Source organism: Homo sapiens, chromosome 17 (assembly GCF_000001405.40).
Source record: "Homo sapiens chromosome 17, GRCh38.p14 Primary Assembly".
Classification (NCBI taxonomy): domain Eukaryota; kingdom Metazoa; phylum Chordata; class Mammalia; order Primates; family Hominidae; genus Homo; species Homo sapiens.
The window spans coordinates 48,442,206-48,467,399 of NC_000017.11; the positions used below are offsets into that span (position 1 = coordinate 48,442,206).

At 43.7% G+C, this 25,194-nt stretch overlaps 1 protein-coding gene and 1 long non-coding RNA gene across 2 annotated transcripts in view; one reads left to right on the plus strand and one right to left on the minus strand.

Moving 5' to 3' along the window:
• SKAP1 (src kinase associated phosphoprotein 1) overlaps nucleotides 1-2,856 on the minus strand; it is a 311,620-nt gene extending 308,764 nt beyond the window's left edge. Inside the window, exon 1 of the mRNA XM_047436976.1 lies at nucleotides 2,732-2,856. Coding sequence (XP_047292932.1) covers nucleotides 2,732-2,749 — 18 coding nt within the window. The 5' untranslated portion in view covers nucleotides 2,750-2,856. The remainder of the gene's footprint in view (nucleotides 1-2,731) is intronic.
• On the plus strand, nucleotides 2,628-23,835 carry LOC101927166 (uncharacterized). Its single transcript, NR_110804.1, has 6 exons — nucleotides 2,628-3,726; nucleotides 4,288-4,409; nucleotides 11,908-12,049; nucleotides 12,814-13,068; nucleotides 13,533-13,585; nucleotides 23,242-23,835. It is a non-coding gene; the product is annotated as an uncharacterized LOC101927166 (long non-coding RNA).
• Nucleotides 23,836-25,194: the final 1,359 nt, after the last annotated feature.

Sequence of the window (25,194 nt, forward strand, 5' to 3'; positions counted from 1 at the left end):
TGGTGGGGTGTGAGGTGGTGTCAATTACATAACAGCTCCTACAGAAACTGTGTGGAATAGGGGAGAAAAGAAATTCTTAGACAACACAGTTGGTTATTTCTGGAAGAAATGGGTAGGTTTGCTGCACAGAAAAAGCAATCTATCCATCATACCCCTTGTTCTTCAGACCTGCCTATGTATGCCTGAATCATTATAGAAAAGTTTCCAATTCTGAGCCCTTGAAAATCAGGGATATGATTATGCTCACTCCACTCACTGAAGCCTTAGTTCCATCCTGCCTGGGACTCTGCTATACTTGGTGTTACATTTTTGGATGTGAAATGTGCAGGGTGGACTCAGACTCCACAACCACTTGTCCCCTTCTTGGCCAAGTCACCTTCTCCTTCCAACTTCTCTAGGTAAGTAAATGGCACCATGGATAATCCAGTTGCCCAATCTGGAACCCTGGGGGGTCATCTTTCTTCCCTCTTTCTTCCTCTGCCAAGTCTAGCTGGAAAATATGTTTCAAACAATCTGTTTCTCTCTAGTCTGTTGCCACCATCCTGGTCCAAGCCACCATCATCTTCTACCTTGCAACCCTCTGGTTTTACGCCCCACCAACCCATTTTCCACCCTAAAACCAGTGATGTCATTTTTAAAAATCTGCCCATGCCTCTTTCCTAATTAAAATTTTAGTAGCTTCCCAATATTTCACTTCCTCACAATGGCTAACAAGCGTCTACCATCGCCACCACCATAACCTCCTGCTTATCTTTCTAGCCTTGCTGCCTGCATGGACCCTTTACTCTCCATCATCTTCAGTAACAGACTTCCTGCAGTTTTTCAATGAGTCATACCCACTCCCACTTCCGTTTGCTCACATGTGCTGTTCCTTCTGTCTACAACACTCTTCCCCTTCCCCTTCACCCAGCTAACTCCTACTCATGCTTCAAGTCTCAACTTCATTTTGTCTGGTTAACCAACCTTGGCTCCCCAGACTGGGTTATATTTCCCTCTCCTACATTCCTGTAGCATTTAGCACCTGCTATTCAAAACTCACATCCCATCTGTAATTATTAAAATTATTAAAAGTAATGGCAAAAACAGCAATTACTTTTGCACCAACCTAATACTTGTCTACCTGCCACCTGTCTTCTCCTCCTGAGGGTTCAGATCTTACCTATCTTATTTCCTAATGTATTCCCAGCAACTGCTATGCTTGGTGTATAGTAGGTCCTCAATAAAGGATTACTGAGTGAGTGCTACAAGGTAAGTCTGTTTGTTTGTTTGTTTGTTTGTTTGTTTGTTTGAGACAGAGTCTTGCTCTGTCACCCAGGCTGGAGTGCAATGGTGCGATCTCGGCTCACTGTAACCTCTGCCTCCTGGGTTCAAGCAATTCTCCTGCCTCAGACTTCCGAATAGCTGAGATTACAGGTGCGTGCCACCACACCTGGCTAATTTTTGTATTTTTAGTAGAGACAGGGTTTCTCCATGTTGGCCAGGCTTGTCTCGAACTCCTGACCTCAAGTGATCCACTCACCTTGGCCTCCCAAAATGTTGGGATTACAGGCGTGAGCCACCATGCCTGGCCTGTTGGGTTTTTTAAAAATAATTTTATTTTGAAATAATTTCAAACTTACAGAAAAGTTATCATAGTATCTAGAACTCAAGTATACCATTCACTTGGAATCATCAATTATTAACTTCGATTATTAATTATTAAATTTAATAATCATCAATTATTAAATTTACTTTATTTTTCATAATAAATAAAATGTTAATTATAGAAAAGTAATTAGTACTAGATTAATTTACATTTTTTTCTGAATTTGAGAGTAAATTACAGTCATCACGCTCCTTTTCCCTAAAAACTTCAACGGTATTTTCTAAGAATGAGGATATTCCCTTAAAAATAACACCTAGTACGAGGCCGGGCGCAGTGACTCACGCCTGTAATCCCAGCACTTTGGAAGGCTAAGGCGGGTGGATCACTGAGGTCAGGGGTTCGAGACCAGCTTGGCCAACGTGGTGAAACCCCATCTCTACTAAAAATACAAAATTTAGCTGGGCGTGGTGGCATGCGTCTGTAATCCCAGTAACAGGGGCTGAGGCAGGAGAATCGCTTGAACCAGGAGGCGGAGGTTGCAATGAGCCCAGATCGTGCCACTGCACTCCAGCCTGGGCAATAGGGTGAGACTCCGTCTCAAAAAAACCCACAAACACCCAGTATGGTTATCAAAATGAGGAAAGTTAGCAAAGGGCACATGAACTTTAATTCAAATATGTGTTATCATTTTCAGAGAAGTAGAAAGTGCTAGGCAAACGTGGCAGTCTGGGATTAGGTGCATGCATTCATAAGGTAACCTCTCTCTCTCTCCTTCCCCTCTCTCTGCCCTTGTTCAAGGGCTTTCTCTAAAACTAAAGCTGTGGTTGCCAAGGCAGAGCCAAGCTGGTTGTGTCTGGTGTTCCCTCAAGCCCCCACTTGCACTAGTAACTTCTCTGCACCACGCCCATTTGTCGCTGCCTATGCAGTCCTCTATCGGTAGGCTGGAAGGCTCCTGAGCAGGTTAGCTTTCTTTCACAAAGTCCCAGCGACAGGAGGAAGCCCAGTCCACCGGAAGTGAAGGTTGGAGGGAAAGGTGAAGGACAGGAAGTGGGAAGATGACTCCTGGGACCCATAATCATGCATGAGCAGTTCAGAGCTTCCCAGAAGGGAAGAAGACAAGCTGTAGGGGCAGTAAGATTTGCACACCTTGGGTCCTGGGACCATCCTGCTCAGCTGAGTAGAATACCAAACGAGGGTGTTTCTGAGCTGCACTTCACCTCAGCCAGGCAATCGACAGGAGAAGCAGCGAGCGAGACCGACAGACTGTCACTGGCAAAATGAACTGTCACCTCCCATTTTTCAGAGGCACGGCGGGATGAATTGCAGCCTTGAACCTTGCGGCCCGCTGTTGATTGAGTTCCGCTGTCTTAGAACCCCGTCGAACAAGGCGAGTTCATTTCAGACTGACGTACCACCGCTTATCAATTTAGGAGCCAGTAAAATTAACCGCTTCGGAGCTGATTTTCTCGGTCCCCCTGCTTGGATTCCGCATGCAGAAAGGTCACCAGATAAATCTCTCTGGGTCCTGCTAGCATGATATGCAGCTAGGAGATGGGGTCTCAGAAGAGGAAGCTGAACCAAACAGCCCACGCCCAAAAAGGTCGCTGAGGCCCTCTTACAGCCACGGATTGTGGCAGTGGTGTGTGACAAGTCGTGCCTTTGCTAACTCTGCTCTGCCCACATCAGCAGCATCTGCTCCCAAGAGATACTGTGGTTGGGTAGGATTGGGTGGCTGAGAATGGAGATGCTACAGAAGCCCCCGCAGTCTTTCTGCAGAGATCTCTGTATATTCTTCTGCTTTGCATCCACAGGGCCTTACACATAGTAGGCACCCGCTAAATGTCTATTAAACTGAATATGACTTGATGTATGCTTTACCATCAATCGGTTTGAAAAGTTTAAAAGAAGTTAGCATGGACAGGGCCCTGGTGGAAAGAAAAAAAAGAAATGTTTATCCAGGAATATCTTTATTGTCACCGGACATTCATGGGGCCCAGTCCATGCTAAAAATCCTCTGGCAACTTGAAGGTCCTTAGAGCACAGCAGGAAGCTCACCAGAACAGAGTTCCTTGTCTCCAGAAGAAAAACTGTCTCATGCCACATTCTCCCCTCACACACATACAGCTTTTTTGCTCATAAAGGCCTGTCCAGTAGGTCTAATTCACGTATCTCAGGGCTTCTCCTCTCCTCTGCATCCGGGACACAAATAGTTTTCTCAACACCCTTTGAACCTCTTGTCACCATGGCAGACTATGGCAGTGTTCATTTCTGGATATACAACCAAACTGTTCTCAGGATAATTTAAAGGTTTGGACTCTTAGACATGCTCTACCTCTATCTAAAAACATCCACTTTTCACCAAAGGTCCTCATCTCAGAGGGACAGGGGACATCTGGTTTGGAAGACTGCGCAGGAAATAAAGACTTATGGGCTGGGCACGGTGGCTCACACCTGTAATCCCAGCACTTTGGAAAGCTGAAGCAAGCAGATTGCTTGAGCCCAGGAGTTCGTGATCAGCCTGGGCAACATGGCGAAACCCCATCTCTACAAAAAACACAAAAATTAGCCAGGCGTGGTGGTGGGTGCCTGTCATCCCAGCTACTCAGGAGGCTGAGGTGGGAGGATCGATTGAGCCCAGGAAGCAAAGGCAGCAGTGAGCTGAGATTGTATCACTGCACTCTAGCCTGGGTAATGGAGTGAAGCCCTGTCTGAAAAACAAACAAACAAACAAAAAAAACAAAAAACAAACAAACAAAAAAACACTTGCGAAGGTGAAGATGGCTTCTGACAGGAAAGCTGGTGCTCTCTTCAGTAAGGCATCAGGGTAAGGTCCAGATATGTTTTTGCTTCAGCTGATAGCTACCAACAGACCAAACTTGTGGGCTCTCATGCCTAAAGAAAATGTATTCACATTCCTGTTGTCCTCCTAAGTTTATTTCTGTGTTTTCACTTGGGACTTTTAGCCCTATACCTAGAGTGAAAAGCCTTAGTTTTCAAATCTGACTGTACACTCCCTAGCCCTAAGAATGAGCAAATAACTTACTTGTCTAAGCCTCATTTTCTCCATCCATAAACCCACACAGATGTTTAAAGCTTCAAATACCTTTCTGTGTGTAAAAACCTCAATAGACTACAAAGTTAGGTACAGATGTTGGAGTTTATTCATTTTAGTTTCAGCAACAAAAGACAAATATGAGGATGAATGTATCTCAAAATTTGATCCGGCAATTTCACTTCTAGGAATCTATCCCACAAAAATGCTCACAGCTATGCAAAACGATGTATGTGTGAGGAATTTCACTGCAACTTTTTGAAATTCAGAGATAACCTAAATGTTGTCAATAAGGAATTGAGTAAATAAATTATAAAATTATGATGCATAGATACTATGCAACACTGTAATAGTTAAAAAGAATAAGAAAGTAAATTTATAACTTTATGGTTGTTATAAGAGTTATAAGGGCATGAAAGCCAACTTATAAAAATTAACAGATGTGGTTATTATATCATTAAATCCTTGGGTGTTCACTAGATACTTGAGTCAAGAGTGACCATAGAAAAATACACCCAGATAAACCTTAGGGAAATATCCAAAGCTTTAAACAAAAAGGGACATATCTAATAGTTGCATTTCTATTTACTATATCATGGACATCTCTTCATGTCAGTACTTCTTAATTTTTATTACTAAAAAAATTACACAGAGCCAGGCACAGTGGCTCATGCCTGTAATCCCAGCACTTTGAGAGGCGAGAGGACTGCTTGAGCTCCAGAGTTCAAGACCAACCTGGGCAACATAATGAGACCTCATCTTTACAAAGACTAAAAAACACTAGCCAGGCATGGTGGCACATGCTTGTAGTCCCAGCTACTTGGGAGGCTGAGGTAGGAGGATCACTTGAACCTGGGAGTTCAAGGTTGCAGTGAGCTGTGATCATGCCACTCACTGCACTCCAGCCTGGGTGACAGTGAGAGCCAGTCTCAAAACAAACAAACAAAACAAAACAAAACAAACACATAATAAAACATAAGCCATGGATTATAAAGATAGTTCTCTAGTCTAACTATTGAGAAAAGTTAGACGATTTGTAGGTAGTTGAAGTGTATTCTCAGGAATACAAATCTATAATATCCTAGCAGTGTAAGTTATAAGTTGAAACAGCCCTAAACCAAGAATCAGGCATCCAGGACTCTTGTCCCAGCTCTACCATTAAGTCACTACATGACATCAACCAAACCACTTTTCTGGGCCCCAGTTTCCACATCCAGAAAATGAGAATGTTAAAGTTCATGTTCTCCAGGGTCCCTTCAAGCTGAAAATTCTATGGTTCTATGAAATCACTTTTCAAAGATTCAATAAAGGATGTTTATATATAATTATAGTCTCTGGTCATTTCTGACACTAACAGGAAGGTTTTGACAAGGCCTTAAATACTCACATGCAGAGAAAGTACACTAAGAATTTTTTCTTTTTTCTTGAGACAGAGTCTCACTCTGTCACCCAGGCTGGAGTGCAGTGGTACAAACACAGTTCACTGCAGCCTTGACCTCCCAGGCTCATGCAATCCTCCTGCCTAAGCCTCCTGAGTAGCTGAGTCTATACAGTGCACCACCACACCTGGCTAATTTATTTTTATTTTTATTTTGTAGAGACAGGTTCTCCCTATGTTGTTCAGGCTAGTCTCGAACTCCTAGGCTCAAGCAGTCCTCCCACCTCGGCCTCCCAAAGTGTTGAGATTACAGGTGTGAGCCATCACATCCAGCCCAGAATTTTTTTATTAAAAAGGTTCCTGCCCTCAAGGAACCTATAATTTAAAAAAGAAAATAAGACAGTTGAATTAATAGAAAAACAGTAGAACCACGTTTTACAAAAGGAATGTACAAAACGAAATTGTTAAGTGGGATCAGTGGAACTCAAATTTATGTTCCTAGAAGCCTTTGGCTTACTCAGAGGTGTTCAGAAGCTGCTTCCAGGATAGGGCAAGAGGGCAAAGGAGTGAGTACTCCACCTCCCCATCCTGGTTTAATCAGAGTAACTCTGCTTTCATCTGCATCATGCATCTAAGAAATATAACACTTTTACAGAAATAGGGCAGCTATAATAAAAATTTGAAAACCACTAGCCTAGATGATTTCTAAGGCCTGTTCCAACTTTAAGGTTTCACAATTCTATGATTCTAAGATGTATGTAAAAATAAGTTTTTATATTTTGCATTCAGCTTTGCAGGTACATAGGAAATTAACTTCATAAAGATTAATTCTCCTTTAAAACAAATAATTATTTTGTAATACGAATATAAAGCCCTAGATGTACACTGGTCATTACAGAAACACAAATCAAAACCAAAATGAGATACCATCCCACACCAGTCAGAATGGCGATTATTCAAAAGTCAGGAAAAACAGATGCTGGTGAGGCTGACGAGGCTGTGGAGAAATAGGAATGCTTTTACACTGTTGGTGGGAGTGTAAATTAGTTCAACCATTGTGGAAGACAGTGTGGTGATTCCTCAAGGATCTAGAAACAGAAATACCATTTGACCCAGCAATCCCATTACTGAGTATATACCCAAAGGATTATAAATCATTCTAATATAAAGACACATGCACACGTATGTTTATTGCAGCACTATTTACAAAAGCAAAGACTTGGAACCAATCCAAATGCCCATCAATGATAGACTGGATAAAGAAAATGTGGCACATATACACCATGGAATACTATGCAGCCTTAAAAAAGAATAGTTCATGTCCTTTTCAGGGACATGGATGAAGCTGGAAGCCATCATTCTCAGCAAACTAATACAGGAATAGAAAACCAAACACTGCATGTTCTCACTCATAAGTGGGAGTTGAACGATGAGAACACATGGACACAGGGAGGGAAACATCATAAACCAGGGCCTGTTGGGGGGTGGCGGGCAATGGGAGGGAGAGCATTAGGACAAATACCTAATACACACGGGGCTTAAAACTTAGGTGCAGCAAACCACCATGGCACATGTATGCCTATGTAACAAACCAGCACGTTCGGCACGTGTATCCCAAAACTTAAAGTAAAAACAAAAAAACAAAAAACAAACCCTAGATGTATAATTTAACACACTCAGATTTTCCTGTCCTGAATTTTCTGAATGTGAGGCATGATCATAATTACAAAAGAACTGGATGGGAATACAAGGCAGACAAAGGGGTTATAAAAAAGATTTGCAAGATCCCTGGAACACCACGGACTAGCTGTCAGTTTTGCCAGTGAAGTAAAAGATACTGAACTAGAGCTAGAATCACTCGGCTCTACTACTGAATTAGGTCATTTTTGTTTCATAGAACACATCTCAGAAAAATCCATGATAATTACTACAGTGTTTTCTATGCATTATTACATTTAATTCTCCCAACTCCATGAAACAGGTGTTATTTTCTTCCCCATTTTACAAACAAGAAAACCGGAGCCATGGATGTTAAGTACTTTGCCCAAGGTCAAAGAGCCAGGGCTCAAACCCAGAGAGTCTGACAGCAAAGCCCATGCTCTCAGCCACCAAAAGCTGTACCCCATGTTGCTACTGGTGACTCTCAGATGCTGGGTAGACAGCCTGCCCTCCAAAGGTCAAAGGATAGGATTCAAATGGGACTCTGCCTCCAATTCCTCTATAAATTTATTTGTCTCATTATCCAATCACAAAGAAGAGTTTTCACTTCCCTTATCAAGGCTGGCCCTAGATAAAAATAATGAGGTAGCTGCAGCTTGTTCATCCTCCCTCCCCGTCACGGCTCCTTCTTCATATGAGGAAGGAAAGAAATACTGACTCCATGAAATTTGTTCTGATGCCTCCCAAGAATTGGCCACTCCTTATCTTGCGCACGCACTGAAGATGTATATGTGTACACATATACATCTGTGTGTGTGCATGTAGTACTTTCTTGCCTACTTTACATTTCATCCCTCTCCCCAACTAGATCATATCTCCTTAGGAATCACAACTAATTTTTACTCATCTCTGTATCCACAACACCTGACAGAGTGCCTAGCATATAATGGAGGCTTGATAAATGTTTATTTGTTTGAATGAAGGAAAGAAGTACATTCAACTCGGCACGGTGGCTCTCACCTGTAATCCCAGCACTTTGGGAGGCTTAGGCACATGGATCACCTGAGGTCAAGAGTTCGAGACAAGCCTGGCCAATATGGCAAAACCCCGTCTCTACTAAAAATACAAAAATGTTCTGGGTGTGGTGGAGTGCGCCTGTAATCCCAGCTACTGCGAAGGCTGAGGCAGGAGAATTGCTTGAACCTGGGAGGCGGAGGTTGCGGTGAGCCAAGATTACACCACTGCACTCTAGTCTGGGCTCAAATAAATAAATAAATAAAGAAGTACATTCATACATTCATGCTGTCTCCAAGGTTCCCAGTGTGTCCCATTGTGGCGCCTCACCTAATCTTGCTTTTCTCGGGAACCCTTTCTCCCAGTCAAACTTTGTCAAGCCTGGGCTCCCTTTCTCCTCCAGATCTGCTCTCTGCCCTCCAAAATGATAACCAGTTAGCTAACCTTATGTGTAATAAGTGCTAATGAAGTTAGCTGAGGTTAATATATTAATGTATTACTTCTTTTCATAATGTATTTTCACTTTAACTAGAAACAATTCCTTGACCTAATAGAGCCATTTCTAATGGTGAATGCATTATGCCAGCATTCAGGATGGGTCGGGGGTGGGAAATCATTGGCAGGAGAGTTTTAAGGACCCTGGCCTAGGCACCGTAAAACCACATGAACCCACCCACTTGTGTAGAAGAGTCATGGAACTAAAATGGCAAAAACACATAAATACTAACACTGCAAGTACATGTGATCTCTACTGTGACCAAATGAGTTGACCAAAGAAATGAAATTTGATCTGCCACAACAGGAGTCTGGGGTTCCCCACTGATCTTCAAGCCAAGTTAGGGTCACCTGAATGACAGATGCTCCTAAAGAGAAATGAGCTAGCCCTGTGTTTGATTGGTATGGGGCTAGGATGTTGGAGACAGCAGGAGTAATCTAATACATCTTTCACCACACAGATGAGGAAACTGAAACCCAGAGAGATAGGTGACCTGTTCAAGGCCACGAAGCCAGAGCCAAAATTGGGACAAAATAATTTATTTCCTTGAGCTAATATACAGGAAATTTTCTTTTCTTTTCTTTTCTTTTTGTTTGTTTGTTTGAGGCGGAGTCTTGCTCTGTCACTCAGGCTGGAGTGCAGTGGCATGATCTCGGTTCACTGCAACCTCCACCTCCTGGGTTCAAGAGATTCTCCTGCCTCGGCCTCCCCAGTAGCTGGGATTACAGGTGTGTGCCACCACACCCAGCTAATTTTTTGTATTTTTATTAGAGACGGGGTTTCTTCATGTTGGCCAGGCTGGTCTTGAACTCCTGATCTCATGATCCGCCCACCTCAGCCTCCCAAAGTGCTGGAATTACAGGCGCGAGCCACCATGCCTGGCCTTCTATCTTATTTAAAGCATCCTACACATTAGCTATTACAAAGCCTATTATTTGCCACAGGGCTCAACTATTTAAAGGATCTAACCCAAAAGAATCATGGCTAAAGCCTCTGCACAGCGGCAGGCAGCATCATACAAATCTCAGCAAAGTGCATTTAACTTGCAGAACCCAATTCACATGCAGAACCCTAGCTACATGGGAGTCTGGAAGATGCAGTATTTTATTTTACAGCTTCTGCAGTACAAAAAAGCACATCAGAAATAGTGGGAATGAATATGAAGTGTGAATTAATCTTATCTAGCATATTATATATATTACATTTTTTAGAACCTTCTTAAACCTTTGTCAAGTTGACAAATTGGTATACTGTTTTAAATAATATTTATTTGATTATTGGTAAGGATGAGCTTTGTGGGGCTTTTTTTGTTTGTTTTGTTTTTTTGAGGCAGGGTATCACTCTGTCCCCTGCCCACCCTAGGCTGGAGAGCAGTGGTCATCACGACTCACTGCAGCCTCAACCTCCCAGGCTCAAATGATCTTCCCACCTCAGCCTCCCAAGTAGCTGGGACTATAGGCATGCACCACCACACCTGGCTAATTTTTAAAGTTTTTTTTTTTTTTTTTTTTTTGTAGAGGCAGGTTTCTTCATGTTGCCCAGGCTGGTCTTGAACTCCTGAGGCTCAAGCAATTCACCCACCTCTGCCTTCCAAAGTGCTGAGATTACAGGTGTGCACCATGGCACCTGGCTAATTTTTATTTTTATTTTTATTTCTGTGGAGATGGGTTCTTACCAGGTTGCCTAAGCTGGTCTGAAACTCCTGAGCTCAAGTGACCCAAAGTGCTGGGATTACAACCATGAGCTTCCACGCCCAGCCAGGATAAACTTTTAAAACTGTATGTACTGGCCTTTCATATTACTTCTTTTATAAATTACCTTGTTCTACTTTTTATTCATTTTTCTTTAGGGATATTTGTCCCTTTGTTCTTATATATTTGTAAGAACTCTTTATACATTAAGGATATTAACCCATTAACCAAAGGCCTTTTTTTTAAATGTCAAATTTTGCCAGGAGCTAGCCCTAATTTGATTAACTCCGCTGATGGTTCCTTGGTTTGGTATCTCCTAAATATTTACACATTTGGCTTGTTCCATAGATATTCAGATTTATAACTATAGTCATGCCTTTTTTCACACACTCTACAGCAGAACCTGGTTTGCCTGTCAGGGAGATAAGATCACTAGAGAGCTGTGCAGATGCTAAGGAGAGACACACACCAGGTCTGGGGATCTAGAGATGAAAGCACAGATCCCAGAAAGTGGGCAGTCTCCCTTGTTCAAGAGTATGATGAAGGTCTCAACACTGTGAGGTTAGTTAGCAAGATGAAGTGGAGGAATCAGATCCCAGATGACAAGAGTCTGCTGTTCAGGAAGACATTTATAGTCACAGCACAAATTAACAAACACATCTAAATGGCCTTGATCTTCTTTTATACTTCCTGCCTAGGTAGGAAGTTGTGGTCTCAGGAGCTAGAACCACAGATATGAAGAAAATGGCTTTAGTTGGTAAAGAAAGTAGTATATAAAGTAGCAGCTGCATTTAAGTCCTCAAATGCTGTTATAGATATTTAATTTTGTTCCATGTTTTCTCAAATATACTTACTGCTTCTCAAATATACTTCTGGCAGAGCTGCTTCTCACGACAGAGACTGAAAAACCAGATTATTGCTTTCTCAGTTTCCCTTACAACTAGGAATGGCCTTGTCTTAGTCCATTCATGCTGCTACACCAAAATACCTCGGACTGGATAATTCATAACAAGAGAAATTTATTGCTCACAGTTCTGGAGCCTGGGAAGTCCAAGATCAACGTACCAGCAGATTCAGATGAAGGCGTGTTCTCAGCTTCATAGGTGGTGCATTCTTGCTGCTTCTTCACATGATGGAAGGAGTGAACAAGCTCCCTTGGGCCTCTTTTACAAAGGTACAAAGCTCCACCATCATGACTTAATCGCCTCCTAAAGGCCCTACCTCTTAAAATATTGCATTGGGGATTAGATTTCAATTTATGAATTTTGAAGGGACACAAACATTCAGATTATATTAGGCCACATGACACAGTTCTGGCCAAGGAGAGGAAGGGGAAGACTACTGGGAGACGTCTGAGGACATTTTTATTCTAGTTAAAAAGACGAGTATGCATGAGGCTCCTACTCTTTCATTCATGTCTATGAATATAGTTGTATGAGCACATGATTTCTTCAACCATGGCAACCATGCAAGCCTAGAGACCAAGAGCCAACACTGAAGGTAGAAAAGCAAAAGGATGAAGGAAGCCTGGTCAGTCATAGCATTTTTCAGCTGATGAACCAAAATAAGACCTCTACATTTCTTATTTTGTGAGAGAGTAAGAACTTTTATTGACACTTTTAGTTTTTTGTTACCTGCTTCTGCATTTTGACACATTCAAAATATAAAATGATACAGAATCTATATCATTGTAAGTACATAAAATATGTTAGTGTGTGGATAAGGACAGGATGGTATTGGTAGGGGCAGGAAGCAGGGAAATTCTCGGCAGAAAAGGGCAGGGTCCCTGGCGAAGCCCCACCCTCAAGCCTAGAACCGCGGTCCAAAGTGAGAGCATGCATTCCTATTTTCTTGCTCAAATGTTGCCTTTTCCAAAATCACCATGACCTGTCTCACCCCTCATCCTGTACCCATTAAATCCCCTGGCCCAACTGGCAGATGGCAAAGAAGGAGAGAAGAGAAGAAGTAGCCAGACATTGGAAAGAAACAGCTTGACTTCAGAGGAATGGCTTGATGGTGGGACTTAGGAGAAGTGTACAGCAGGGGACTGCTGGACTCCATGGGAAGATCACCTTCCCACTCCATCCCCCTTCCAGCTCCCCATCCTGCTGGGAGCCACTTTCATCAGTAATAAAATTCTCCGCATTCATCACCCTTCAATTTTTTCATGCAACCTTGGTTGCAAGGACTCAGGTATGGGTGCAAAAGGTTGTCACACTGACCCTCCACTGAGCTGTTAACACTTAAGCCATTCATGGACAGAAAAGCTAAAAGAGCACACTGTAACACATGCCCTCTGGGTCTTCAGAGGTTGCGGGTACCCCCACAGATGCTGCTGCAGGGCTGCACAGTTTTGCTCCTGCCAGCACCCAAAAGCAGTCACTCTGGCTCCTGCACCTGCTCACTTGTGTGCTCCCCCTCCTGTGAGGGATTGAGAGCTGGGGGCTAAGTAACTGAGGCACCCCTGTTGCAAGGTCCATGAAGGGGTCAAGGAAAATTTCCTGTTTCAGTACGATGACTAATACCAAGACCAGAATGTTCTATAGAGAAGTGTTGGGGGAAAGGGAGAGCAGGGTCCCATTCCTGGACATTCTGATTTAATTGGCTTGGGGTAGGAGCCAAGCATTGGTATTTAAAATTTTAATTTTATTTTACAGGTGGAGAGACGAAGGATCAAGCAATGTGACTGGTAGAAACTGTGTTATACAAGGTAAACCAAGAGAGAATTGTGCAAAAATGTCTTCAGGGTCACTTCTTTCCCTAACTTGGTCCCTCAGAGTTCTTTCCACTAGATATCCAGTGTGTTCAACCTAACTCCTATCTGCAGTGGGCCTCCAAATATTGCACCCCTATGGGCAGGGCTGTGTGTCATTTCCCTGGCCCCTATCTGGGTCAAAACTGTCATTCCTCCAGGGACCTGCTGGGCAACTAGCAAACTAATCTTCAATGTATTTTACCCAAGGTGTTAATGACAGATAATGGCTTAATGCATTACCCCTCCCAGCTAACATTTCCATTTTAATAGAGCCTTTAAATGCTTTAACCTGAAGGAAACAGCATGAAAAATGCAGGGATAGCAAATATCTGGCACCTTTGCTCCTTCCCTGTTCCTGGAAGACATCTTCAAATGGTCACTGAGGCTTTTCCTGCTATGCCTGGACATACCCTGAGAAGCCCATAGGGCCCTGGGCAGCCCCTACCAGCCTATGATGGGAGTTACCATGCAAGATGAAATCTATTTGCCAACCTTATCGTGAAACAAATATTTGTCCAGGAGTAAAAAGACCTGAATTCTACTTTGGGGCTTTGACATTACCTGGACATAGGGCCTAAACAAATTTATTAGACATTTCCAAGTCTCAGTTTCCTTACCCATAAAATGAGAGGACTGGCATTAGAGTCAAGCATTTCCAAAGCATAGTTCTCAATCTGCCAGGGACTCTCAAAATCTGACCTCACAGCTCTCCAAGCTGGTTGCTGCTACCACGTACCTCTTCCCATTTTTGCCTTGCTTCCCACAAGGGAAGGAAATTCACTCCCAACTGGGCACCACCTTTCTATCTCTATTTGGGGACCTTCCTGTCCCTGAAAGGCCCTGGGAACATAATGTAAAGCAACTATGGGGGCAGCTGCTAAGAAGCCAGATCTTGTGACACTAAGAGTCCAGTCACGTGGTTCAGAGTCCACAGCAACCTGTGGCGACTATGCAGTCATCAGCCAGAGAGGCAGAGCCTCTGTCTGGAGATGTGTCAGAAATGGGTGTGACTAGTCCCAGACACATCAAGTGAGGAAAAATCAGGTGTGCAGATTACGTTGTGTAAATGCCTTTCTAATTCTCAATGCTCCAGGAAGGAATCTCAGAGATTAAATTAAGCTGTTAACCCTCTAGGCGCTCCTGTCGTTTATTGTTAAGGAATTAATAGGAATGCGGGAATGCAGATGGCCTGGCTGTCAGCTCGGAGAGGCGATTTTTCTGATCTCCAAGGAGGTTTCCAGCATCTTTCATTAAGCACTCGTGTACCAACTTGTCATTTTAACCGAGCAGCAAAGAAACTCCCACTCAACTGCCTACCTCAGGTGCTGGGAGTGCAATCCTCGGAGGAGTCTTTCTGGGTTGCAGGTGCAGGGGAGGCGCCCAGGTGATGGGGGTGGGGTGCAGCGAGAAATGGATTTAAAGCCACTCCAGGAAGGAAATCGGATCCCAAAACCTGGTTGTCCTGGGCACAGGCTTCAGGTGACTGCAGAAGATTCCTCTCTAGCAATCCTGAACTGAGCAGAGATGTGAAAACTTACTTCTTTCCGCTTTCTCGAAGCGCTCCAGGACGCAGGTGGCACGCTCAACGCGGGGAGGCGCCACCTACAGGACAGAGGAAGACCTGCAGCTTGGGCTTGAGATTTCAACAGTCTGTGGCGGGGGCTGATGAGGGCGGCCCCTCCTCCTCCTGGAGTAATAATAGTCCCTGACATTTATCGAATGCTCTTCTCGTGCCAGACACTGTCCTGAGCACTTGACATGTATTAATGATTTTAAACCTCACAACAACCCTATTAGGTAGGTGTTATTTTCATCTTCATTTTATGGAATAGAAAACCACAGTTCCAGGAGAGAGAGTAATTTGCCCCAAGTCACCCAGTTAGGAAGTGGGAAGTGGAGACCCCGACCCTGAGTAGGCACTAAGGCGGGTGTGGTGGGATGGTTAGAGTCGGGCGCAACTCTACTCATGGTTCACAGCATTCAACTCTATGGGCCCTCAATTCTGCAGCTTTGGTTTACCATTTTTTGAGACTCGCTTACTCGTCTGGAAAGGAAATCTTTGCTAAGGTAATCATAACCTTGTATAATTTTTAAAGAGATGGAAAATGACAAACATCGCATATTCTCACTTATTTGTGGGATCTAAGAAAACAATTGAACTCCTGGAGATAGTGGAAGGATGGTTACCAGAGGCTGGGTAGTGGGGGGCCTGAGGGGGAGGTAGGGTGGTTAATGGGCACAAAAAAAAAAAAAATAGAAAAAACGAATAGGACCTAATATTTGATAGTACAACAGGGGGACTATGGTCAATAATACTTTAATTGTACATTTTGAAACAACTAAGAGTATAATTGTATTGTTTGTAACACAAAGGATAAATGCTTGAGGGGATGGATACCCATTTTCCATGATATAATTCTTACACATTGCATGCCTGTACCAAAATATCTCATGTGCCTCATAAGTGTATACACCTACTATTTACCCACAAACATTTTTGAAAAACCAAGGCGAAAAAGTGGGCACAGTGGGGCAGGGATGCTGGAGATTGTGTATCTCTCATCAGTTCATTTTTTCAGTTATATAGATGAGTATGAGAGAGGTAAGGGACCCAACCACGTGCACAATCTCAGTGACAGCGCAAGAACTGGAACCCAGATTTCCTCACTCCCAGCCCAGTGCTTTCCCCCCGTGCTACATTCATTCTTTAATCATCCATTGACAGGATGGATTCTGTATGTGGGATGGAAGGTAATCACACACAGTGTGGCTTCAGAGGCTCCAGGCCCACCCTCTGACCAAAATATACATTTCCTTTTTTTTTTTTTTTTTTTTTGAGACAGGGTTTTGCTCTGTTGCCCAGGCTGGAGTACAGTGACGCAATCTCGGCTCACTGCAACCTCCACCTCTGGCTTCAAGCAATTCTTCTGCCTCAGCCTCCTGAGTAGCAGGGATTACAGGCACACTCTACCACACCCAGTTAATTTTTGTATTTTTAGTAGAGATGGGGTTTCGCCATGTTGGCCAGGCTGGTCTCAAACTCCTGGCCTTTAGTGATCCGCCTGCCTCGACCTCCCAAAGTTCTGGGATTACAGGTGTGAACCACCATGCCCGGCTCAAAACATACTTTAAAAAAAACCTGGTGGCTGTTGCGTAAAATTCCACCATTAGTGGCTCATTTTATTCACTAAGACTTTGATCCTATCCACTTAGGACCAGTAAGGCTTTTAACTGTTGGCCATCATTTCATGTGTATGTAATTGAGTTCTAAAGCAGCGCTACTCAAAGTGTGGTCCACAGACAGCAGCATCAGTATCATCTGCAAGCTTGTTAGAAACGCAGGTCATGGCTTTCACCCAGACCTACTGAGTCAGAATTGCCCTAGTTCTCAAACTTCTGTGTATGTGCTTAACTTCTCATCTGAAGAGCTTATGAAAACACAATTTCCTGAGACAACTGTTCCCCACCTCAAACCCAGAGATTCTGATTCAGCAAGTCTGGGGAATGCACCCCAAAATTTGCATTTCTAACAGGCTCTCAGGTGATGCACCTGAGACCAGCTACTGCTGGTCTGGGGACTATACTTTCAGTAGGACCTAAGGAGTTCCTGATAACAGATATTGGGGAGGGAGAAGAGGGAGAATGAGCACACTGAGGTAGAAGAAGGAAAGGTTATCACCAAGGGTGCAAAGGGTACAGAATATGAAGCCTTGGAGTCAAAAACTGCTGAGGGTGTGAGTGCACAATCACGTCTTTCCATTTGAATACATTCAAATATTTAGATCCTTAAGTGATTCAATACAATGCATGCATGTTTGTTAGCTGGATTTACTGAGCCTATGGTAAAATCTGCTCTTGCATCACCTTTTGCTGAGCCCTGCCTGTCTCAGTTACAAATGAAAATCTTTCCAGTCCTCTCTGACCATCAGTTAGTTTTCCAATTTCATTCCAGAGTTAACTGCACTGTAGCAGCAGACAAAACTGGCCCGATGGCAGGAATACTGTTCCCCGATGGTATCAGAGCCATCTGTATTTATGTTTGCTGTGTGACTGTCACTTGTATACAATCATGCAGAGACTCTGATATTAAGACTTGGCCTGGAAATCACCCCCATGGCACAGCTCTGGTGGAAAAGGAAAAGGGGATTCAGTGGCAACCAGATATCAAACACAAATTACATTGCCCTTGTACCAAAACAGGCATCTTTAAGAAATCATGTCTTCTGGTCTTCCTTTGCTATACTTCAGGTAATATGGTACCCAGAGGAACCCAGAGAGATAACAACCTCTTCTATTTGTAAAGACCACTTGTGAAGGAAACTCCATAACCTCCCTGTGGTGGAGTGTATTATTGCTCAGCAAACATTCATTCTTCTCTATTTCCCTCCGTTGGGGGAGCAAACTTCCCCACTCCATTGATGATGGGTCTAGCCATGTGACTTGTTTTAGCCAATGGAATGTAAACAGAGGCTTTAACTCTACTTGCTTGGTTAAGCTTGGTCTCTTGCACCTCTACCCTTTGCCACGAGAAGAGCATGCCCTTGTCACTTCGGCCTGAGTCCCAGAATGAGAAGTTACATGGAGCAGACCTGAACAAGATTCACAACCTGAACAGAATCACTGCAGCCAATCCACAAACCTGTGAGCAAAAAATAAATGTTATAAATTTCTGAGATTTTAGATTAGTTGTTATGCAGCATTATTTTAGTAAAGTTGACTGATACACTCCCTCAGGTACCTGTTCCACTGAACTTTTGCTGCAAAGTTCTTCATTGTGTCTAACCTAAATCCGTCATACATTAATGTAAAGATCTATCTCATTTGTGGTCCAAATGAGGGATCACTAGATTACATCTTTGATTCTAAATGTCCAAATCTAGCTTGAATTGTTTACTATATATTTAGATGAATAAAATAGAGGTGCATTCAGGGAATTATTTGCATTTACAAAGTATCATCTATGGTTTTCCTTATTGGAGCTATTAGAAGGTGGGTCCTTAAGAAGTGATCGTCTTCAGGAACCAGAAAAGTAGCAATGGGAGAGATGAGAGTTTGGAAGCCTAATTAAAATATTATAGAACTGAGCCAGGTGTGGTGGCTCACACCTGTAATCCCAGCACTTTGGGAGGCCGAGGCAGGCAGATCATGAGGTCAGGAGTTTGAGACCAGCCTGGCCAACATAGTGAAACCCTGTCTCTACTAAAACTACAAAAAATTAGCCAGGTGTGGTGGTGCACACCTGTAATCCCAGCTACTTGGGAGACTGAGGCAGGAGAATCTCTTGAGCCCAGGAGGCAGAGGTTGCAGTGAGCCAAGATCGCACTATTGCACTACAGCCTGGGTAACAGCAAGATTCAGCCTTGAGGAAAAAAAAAAGTCATAGAACTGCCTTATTTTCTCTTATCTTTCTTTCCTAGCAGTTTATAAATTATTTATTTCCTAGCAATTTGCAATTATTTTATTTGCCTATTTTCTTTCTTTTTATTTGTCTGTCTCCCCCATTAGAAAGTGTTTCCATAAAGGCAGGAACAATGTTTGTCATATTCACAACTTTATCCTCCAGTACTCAGCAAACTCTGGCATGTAGCAGTCCCAAAAAAAAAAAAAAAAAAAAAAAATTCAGTAGAGACAGGGTTTCACCATGTTGGCCAGGCTGGTCTCAAACTCCTGGCTTCAGGTGATCCACCCTTTTCAACCTCCCAAAGTGCTGGGATTACAGGCGTGAGCCACTGTGCCTGGCCAAAAAAAAATTGTTAAATAAATTCTTTCTAATAAGGGCATGTCACTAGAGCAGGTAAGGGGGAAATAATGAAAAAGAGATAGGATTTACAGTCTAAACATCTGGCTTCTACACTATGTGATCTTAGATAGTTCAGTGGTGTCTTACTCTGCTCCAGCTGCTGTAACAAAATACCATAGACTAGGTGGCTTATAAACAGCAGAAATTTATTTCTTACAATTCTGAAGGCTGGGAAGTCCAAGATCAAGGTGCTGGTAGATTTGGTGGCTGGTAAAGGCCTGCTTCTTCATAGGTAGTGCCTTCTTGCTGTGTCCTCACATGGTGGGAAGAGCAAGCTAACTCTCTGGGACCACCTCTTTTATGAGGGCACTAATCCCATTCACGAGGTCTCTACCATTAGGACCTAATCCCTTCCCGAAGGTCCCATCCTATACCATCACCTTGGGGGCTAGGATTTAATATATGAATTTGGGGGAAACATAAAGATTCACTCCATTGTAAATGGGCACCTAATTGTGAAAAACTTTGAATCATAATAATACTCAGTCAATGGAGAGCCACTGAGTAATTTTGAGCTGTGGAAGGACCGATCAAGACAGCATCTTGATAGCCGGGCATGGTGGTGCATGCCTGTAATCTCAGCTACTCAGGAGACTGAGGCAGAAGAGTCACTTGAACCTGGGAGGTGGAGGTTGCAGGGAGCCGAGATTGCGCCACTGCACTCCAGCCTGGGCCACAGAGCAGGACTCTGTCTCAAAAAAAAAAGCATCTTGAGATGATATATGTGATCACTGTGTTCAGAGATGGTTTAGCAGAGAGAGGGAGCAGTTAGAAGGTAATTTCAAGGTGAAGGAATAAGGGCCTAAAGTGTGGGGTGGCAGTGGGAGTGAAAAGGAATGAGATTTGGATGGATGGAAGATTCAATAGTTCTATCACCTGATGGGAAAGGGAGGCAGGAGAGAGAGGGTGCCTAAGGAAGCGCCATGATTTTATACCTGTATAGCTGAAATAATAGAAATGCTCTTAATAGATACATGGAAGTTGGAGAAGAGGCCAGCTGTGTTTGGGAGAAATGATAATGTATTTTAGACAATAGAATTTAGACAATGGCTGGTTATGAAGCGAAAATGCCTAGCCCTTAGGTAGAAATTCAGGACTAGGCCAGGCACAGTGGATCATGCCTGTAAGTCCCAGCACTTTGGGCGGCCAAGTAGGGTGGATTGCTTGAGTCCAGGAGTTCAAGACCAACCTGGGAAACATGGCAAAGCCCGGCTTTACTAAAAATACAAAAACTTAGCTGGGCATGGTGGTGCGCACCTGTAATCCCAGCTACTCGGGAGGCTGAGGTGAGAGAATCACCTGAGCCCAGAAGGTCAAGGCTGCAGTGAGCTGAAGTCACACCACTGCACTCCAGCCTGGGGGATCAGAGTGAGACCCTGCCTCACAAAAAGAAAGAATAGAAAGAAAGAAATTCAGGACTACACCTTCAGAGAGAAGTCAGAACAGAAAACCGCTTGTGGTCATTGGACTCATGGAGGTGACAGGTATAGGAAGAGAAAAGCCAGAGACTGAAGCCAGCTTGGCACACTGCCTAGTTAGCAAGGGCAGGTGGGGGAAGCCGTGGCTGGTGAAAGGGATAGAGAAACAAAATCAGCAGAGGGTCTCAGAAGCCAAGAAAAGGGAGAATTTTGTGGGGTTTTTTTTTGTTTGTTTGTTTGCTTGCTTTGGTTTTTGTTTGTTTGATTGCTGGGATTACAAGCATGAGCCACTGCACCTGGCTGGAAAGGGAGAATTTTGATGTCCAGCCCTGTCTTCTCTGCGACCAGCATTGGCTGTCAGACTTCTTAGGGAGCTCTCCTGTAGGAGCAGAGCGTAACATCCTTTAACCAGACTGTGTTGTCTCTAACCACCTGGGTGGCTGAGGGAGTCCCAAGGCTTTGTGAGCCTTTGAAAGAAAAATCCAGGGAAGGGAAAATGGAGAAATATAATCAATAACAACAGCCTCGTTTTTTCCACTTCATATGCAGGAAGCAGTCCAGGGCTGTAGCTGCTGCTATGCTGGGTGTACTCTGGATATTCAAAAGGTCATCTGGCATAGAGACAGGCTAAATTATGGCTGGAGTGTATGAATCTGAGGAGGTTCTCCATTAACATTTATTAGGAATTGTCATCACTTCAACTCGAATGGGCCCCAGATGTGGAAACCCCGGCTGCCCCAGACTTCTCTTCTGGGCTGCAATCTCTCCTCTGATTTATTGTTATTAAACATGACCAGATTTTGTAGAGGGGAAAATTGAAGAAAGCAACACACGCATGGGGAACCATTGGGTGGAGGCTGCCAAGAGAAAAACAAACCATTTTATAATTTCTGGTGGCAGTGGGAACACATGGAGATGAGAGCTATTGTTACGAGGCTCCATAGAGCCTATTTCCTAAATCAAAAAGACACAAGCCTCAACTTCCAGGCAGTCTGTTTGAAGGGCAAATGTCCTAACCCTGAGGATGAGAGAGGGGCAGTTGAAGACAATGAGAAAGGCTAAGAATAGAGAGTTAGTGCTTAGAATTTGGGAAGCCATGGCAGGGATCCTCTTCCTTAAAATATATTACCTTACAGGGTGGATGGCTTCCTGGGAGTCATCACACCCCCACTGGATGTTAGGTCATTATGCTTATCAATAATATTTACTCTCTCATTGTGTAAATATTGCAAGGGATACCAAGAAGTCAAAATTAGAGTCCCACCTTCTGGTGATCTATTTCCTGTCTTTACTCAACATAATTTTATGAAGCACATCCTAGGTATCAGGCACTGCTGAAAGTGTTGAGGGAATATTAGTAAATGAAAGAGACAAAGACTCTCTCAGAGTGCTCTCTGAGCACTCACAAATCTGTAGGGGACAAACTCAGGAAGTAATTAAAATTAGCTACTAGACAAAAGTGTATAAAAGGAAGGCAGCTTAAAGAAAGACACCGTGTTAAGAGTCAGAACACCTGAACTCCAGTCCTGGCTCTACCGCCTAAGAGTCTTATGACTTCAGATGAGTTGGTACATTATTTAACTTTTGTGAACCTCGATTGTTTTTTGGGTTGTTTTGTTTTGTTTTTGAGACAGGGTCTCACTCTGTCACTGAGGCTGGAGTGCAATGGTGAGATTATGGCACATTGCAGCCTTAACCTCCCAGGTTCAAATGATTCTCCCACTTCAGCCTCCCAAGTAACTGGGACTGCACGTGCATGCCACCATGTTGGGCTAAGTTTTATATTTTTTTAGAGACGAGGGTCTCACTATGTTACCCAGCCTGGTCTCAAACTCCTAACCTCAAGCGATCCTCCCATCTCAGCCTTGCAAAGTGCTGGGATTACATGCATTAGCCACTGCACCCAGCCAAACATGAGCTCCTTGTTTGCAAAATAGTAATAAACCTGCCCTAACTATCTCACAGGTTTGTGTAAAAATTAAATGTGGTAATGTAGTCAAAGAGTTCCTTATAAACTAAATTGCTCTATGGCGTCAGGTTTGTAAGTGCCAAATAAATGGAAAGGTGGGTGTTATGGGATGGTTCATTTGCTTGCCAGGAACCTGGGGACACATCCTCTTCCGCTTTCTTTCAGGAAAAGGGGCAAGCAGGACTATCCCCAGGCCACCAGATACATGCCCCTTGGGGAGTCATTTACTAGTAGGGTCTGAATATCTGGTGCTGACTTCACTAGCAAGCCATCACTGGGAAGCCCTCCCTTACTGTGGCTCCTGTTCTTAGAACAGTGCATGGAAATTATCCCATGTGGGAACTATGGTAAGTGAACATAGATAATGAGGAAAGTCTCAGAAGGGCTACATCTAATTATTGTTCTTGCATTGTCCTCCTTTCAGAAAATTGTCTACATTCCTGCCTGGGCATGGTGGCTCATGCCTGTAATCCAGCACTTTGGGAGGCCGAGGTGGGCGAGTCACTTGAGTCAGGAGTTCGAGACCAGCCTGGCCAACATGGTGAAACCCTGCCTCTACTAAAAATACAAAAAATTAGCTGAGCATGGTGGTGCATGACTGTAATCCCAGCTACTTGGGAGGCTGGGTCAGGAGAATCGCTTTAACTGGGAGGTGGAGGTTGCAGTGAGCCAAGATCACGCCACTGCACTCCAGAGTGGGAAACAGAGCAAGACTCCACCTCAAAAAGAAGAAGGAGAAGGAGAAGGAGATTATCTACATTCCTGAGGAGGAGAAGTTGTACTTAAACTACCTTGATCCAACTTCCAGCTTTACAATCATTGCCCCCCACCATGCATATATCATACATATATACCTGCTAGCATGAATACCTGCATCATATCTAGAATTAATGGGAATAGTCATAGGGCCAATCTTTCTTATATCAAGCAAGCTGAACAAGGGTCCAAGGGATAAGGCCACAGCTACTTCCTCCTGCTTTAGAACAGAGCTAAATAAACCTGTTCCTAAGTCTTGTGAGTTATTGCATCCTTGCCTTATAAGGAATGAAGACTTAACCTGCTTCCTGGCAGTCATTACTAACTGAGTGAAGATTCCCATTAATCCAGAAATGGGAGCCTCTCTGGCTTGCATATGTCCAGGAATGGACATACCACCCACAGTTTTACTCCTGGTGGCCAATCGGTCCCGCACACAAACACAGGCACATCTTTTATTTAATGCTCAAGATTTGTGAACAACTCCCAGCACTGTGCCTTCCAAAGGGCTTGCATTAAGTGCTGGTGAAGGAGCAGGGACCTCTATCATGGCCAGAGCCAGTCAATAATGACACCCTGGCAGCTCTCAAAGGTGCACGAGTGGAATGGCCATTGAGCTACTCCATGCAATGAAAAGTTCTAATGGGGAGTGGGGACACTTCTCTCCCCAGTCCCATCCCATGGCTTGGCTGAAAATTTTTTTCTTTTGGGAGATCACTGGCTTTCTCCAGCAACCTTGACTATAAGGATGAGGATGAGGAGAAAAAATAAGAACTGCCGAGTGTGGTGGCTCACGCCTGTAATCCCAGCACTTTGGGAGGCTGAGGTGGGTGGATCACAAAGTCAGGAGTTCAAAACCAGCCTGGCCAAGATGGTGAAATCCCGTTTCTACTAAAAATACAAAAGAAAAAAAAATTAGCCAGGCGTGGTGGCGAGTGCCTGTAATCCCAGCTACTGGTGAGGCTAAGGCAGAGAATTGCTTGAACCAGGGAGGCAGAGGTCACAGTGAGCCGAGATCATGCCACTGCACTCCAGCCTTTGCAACAGAGTGAGACTCTGTCTCAAAAAAAAAAAAAGTACACAGGGGAGGTTGTGGGGAATTTGGAATATTCCCTAAGGATTTCCTCCATTGAAGAGGTCTGCTTTAAAGTACTGGGGGTCCACAAACTCACCCCATTTCCAGCTTGGCCTTGGGAGAAGAGGAGGACAGAGAACAGAATTCTGGATTGTTACTAGGTAGTTGGGCTGCATCAGGAAGACATTTTGGTAGAAGGAGAGGAAAGAGAGGTAGGAAGTGGGAAGGGAAGCACTAAGGGTTTTTTTTTTGACCCTGATCCCCTTAGCTAGACAAGCTCAGTGGGGCTTAGGATGGAGGTCAGGGATAGCCTAAGATCCTGTTACTGAAAGGGTAGTCTCCAGCCAGCAGCATCAGCATCACCTGGCTCTTAGGCTTCACCCCAGACCTACTGAATCAGAAACTGCATTTTAATCCCTAGGTGATAAGTATGTCCAATAAAATTTCAGAAGCATTAGCCTAGATGCTTCAATGGGAATAACTTCTTGCAGTGAGCTATTGAGGAACTGTGCTGGATAATCTCTCTGCCCTTCCAAATCCACTTGC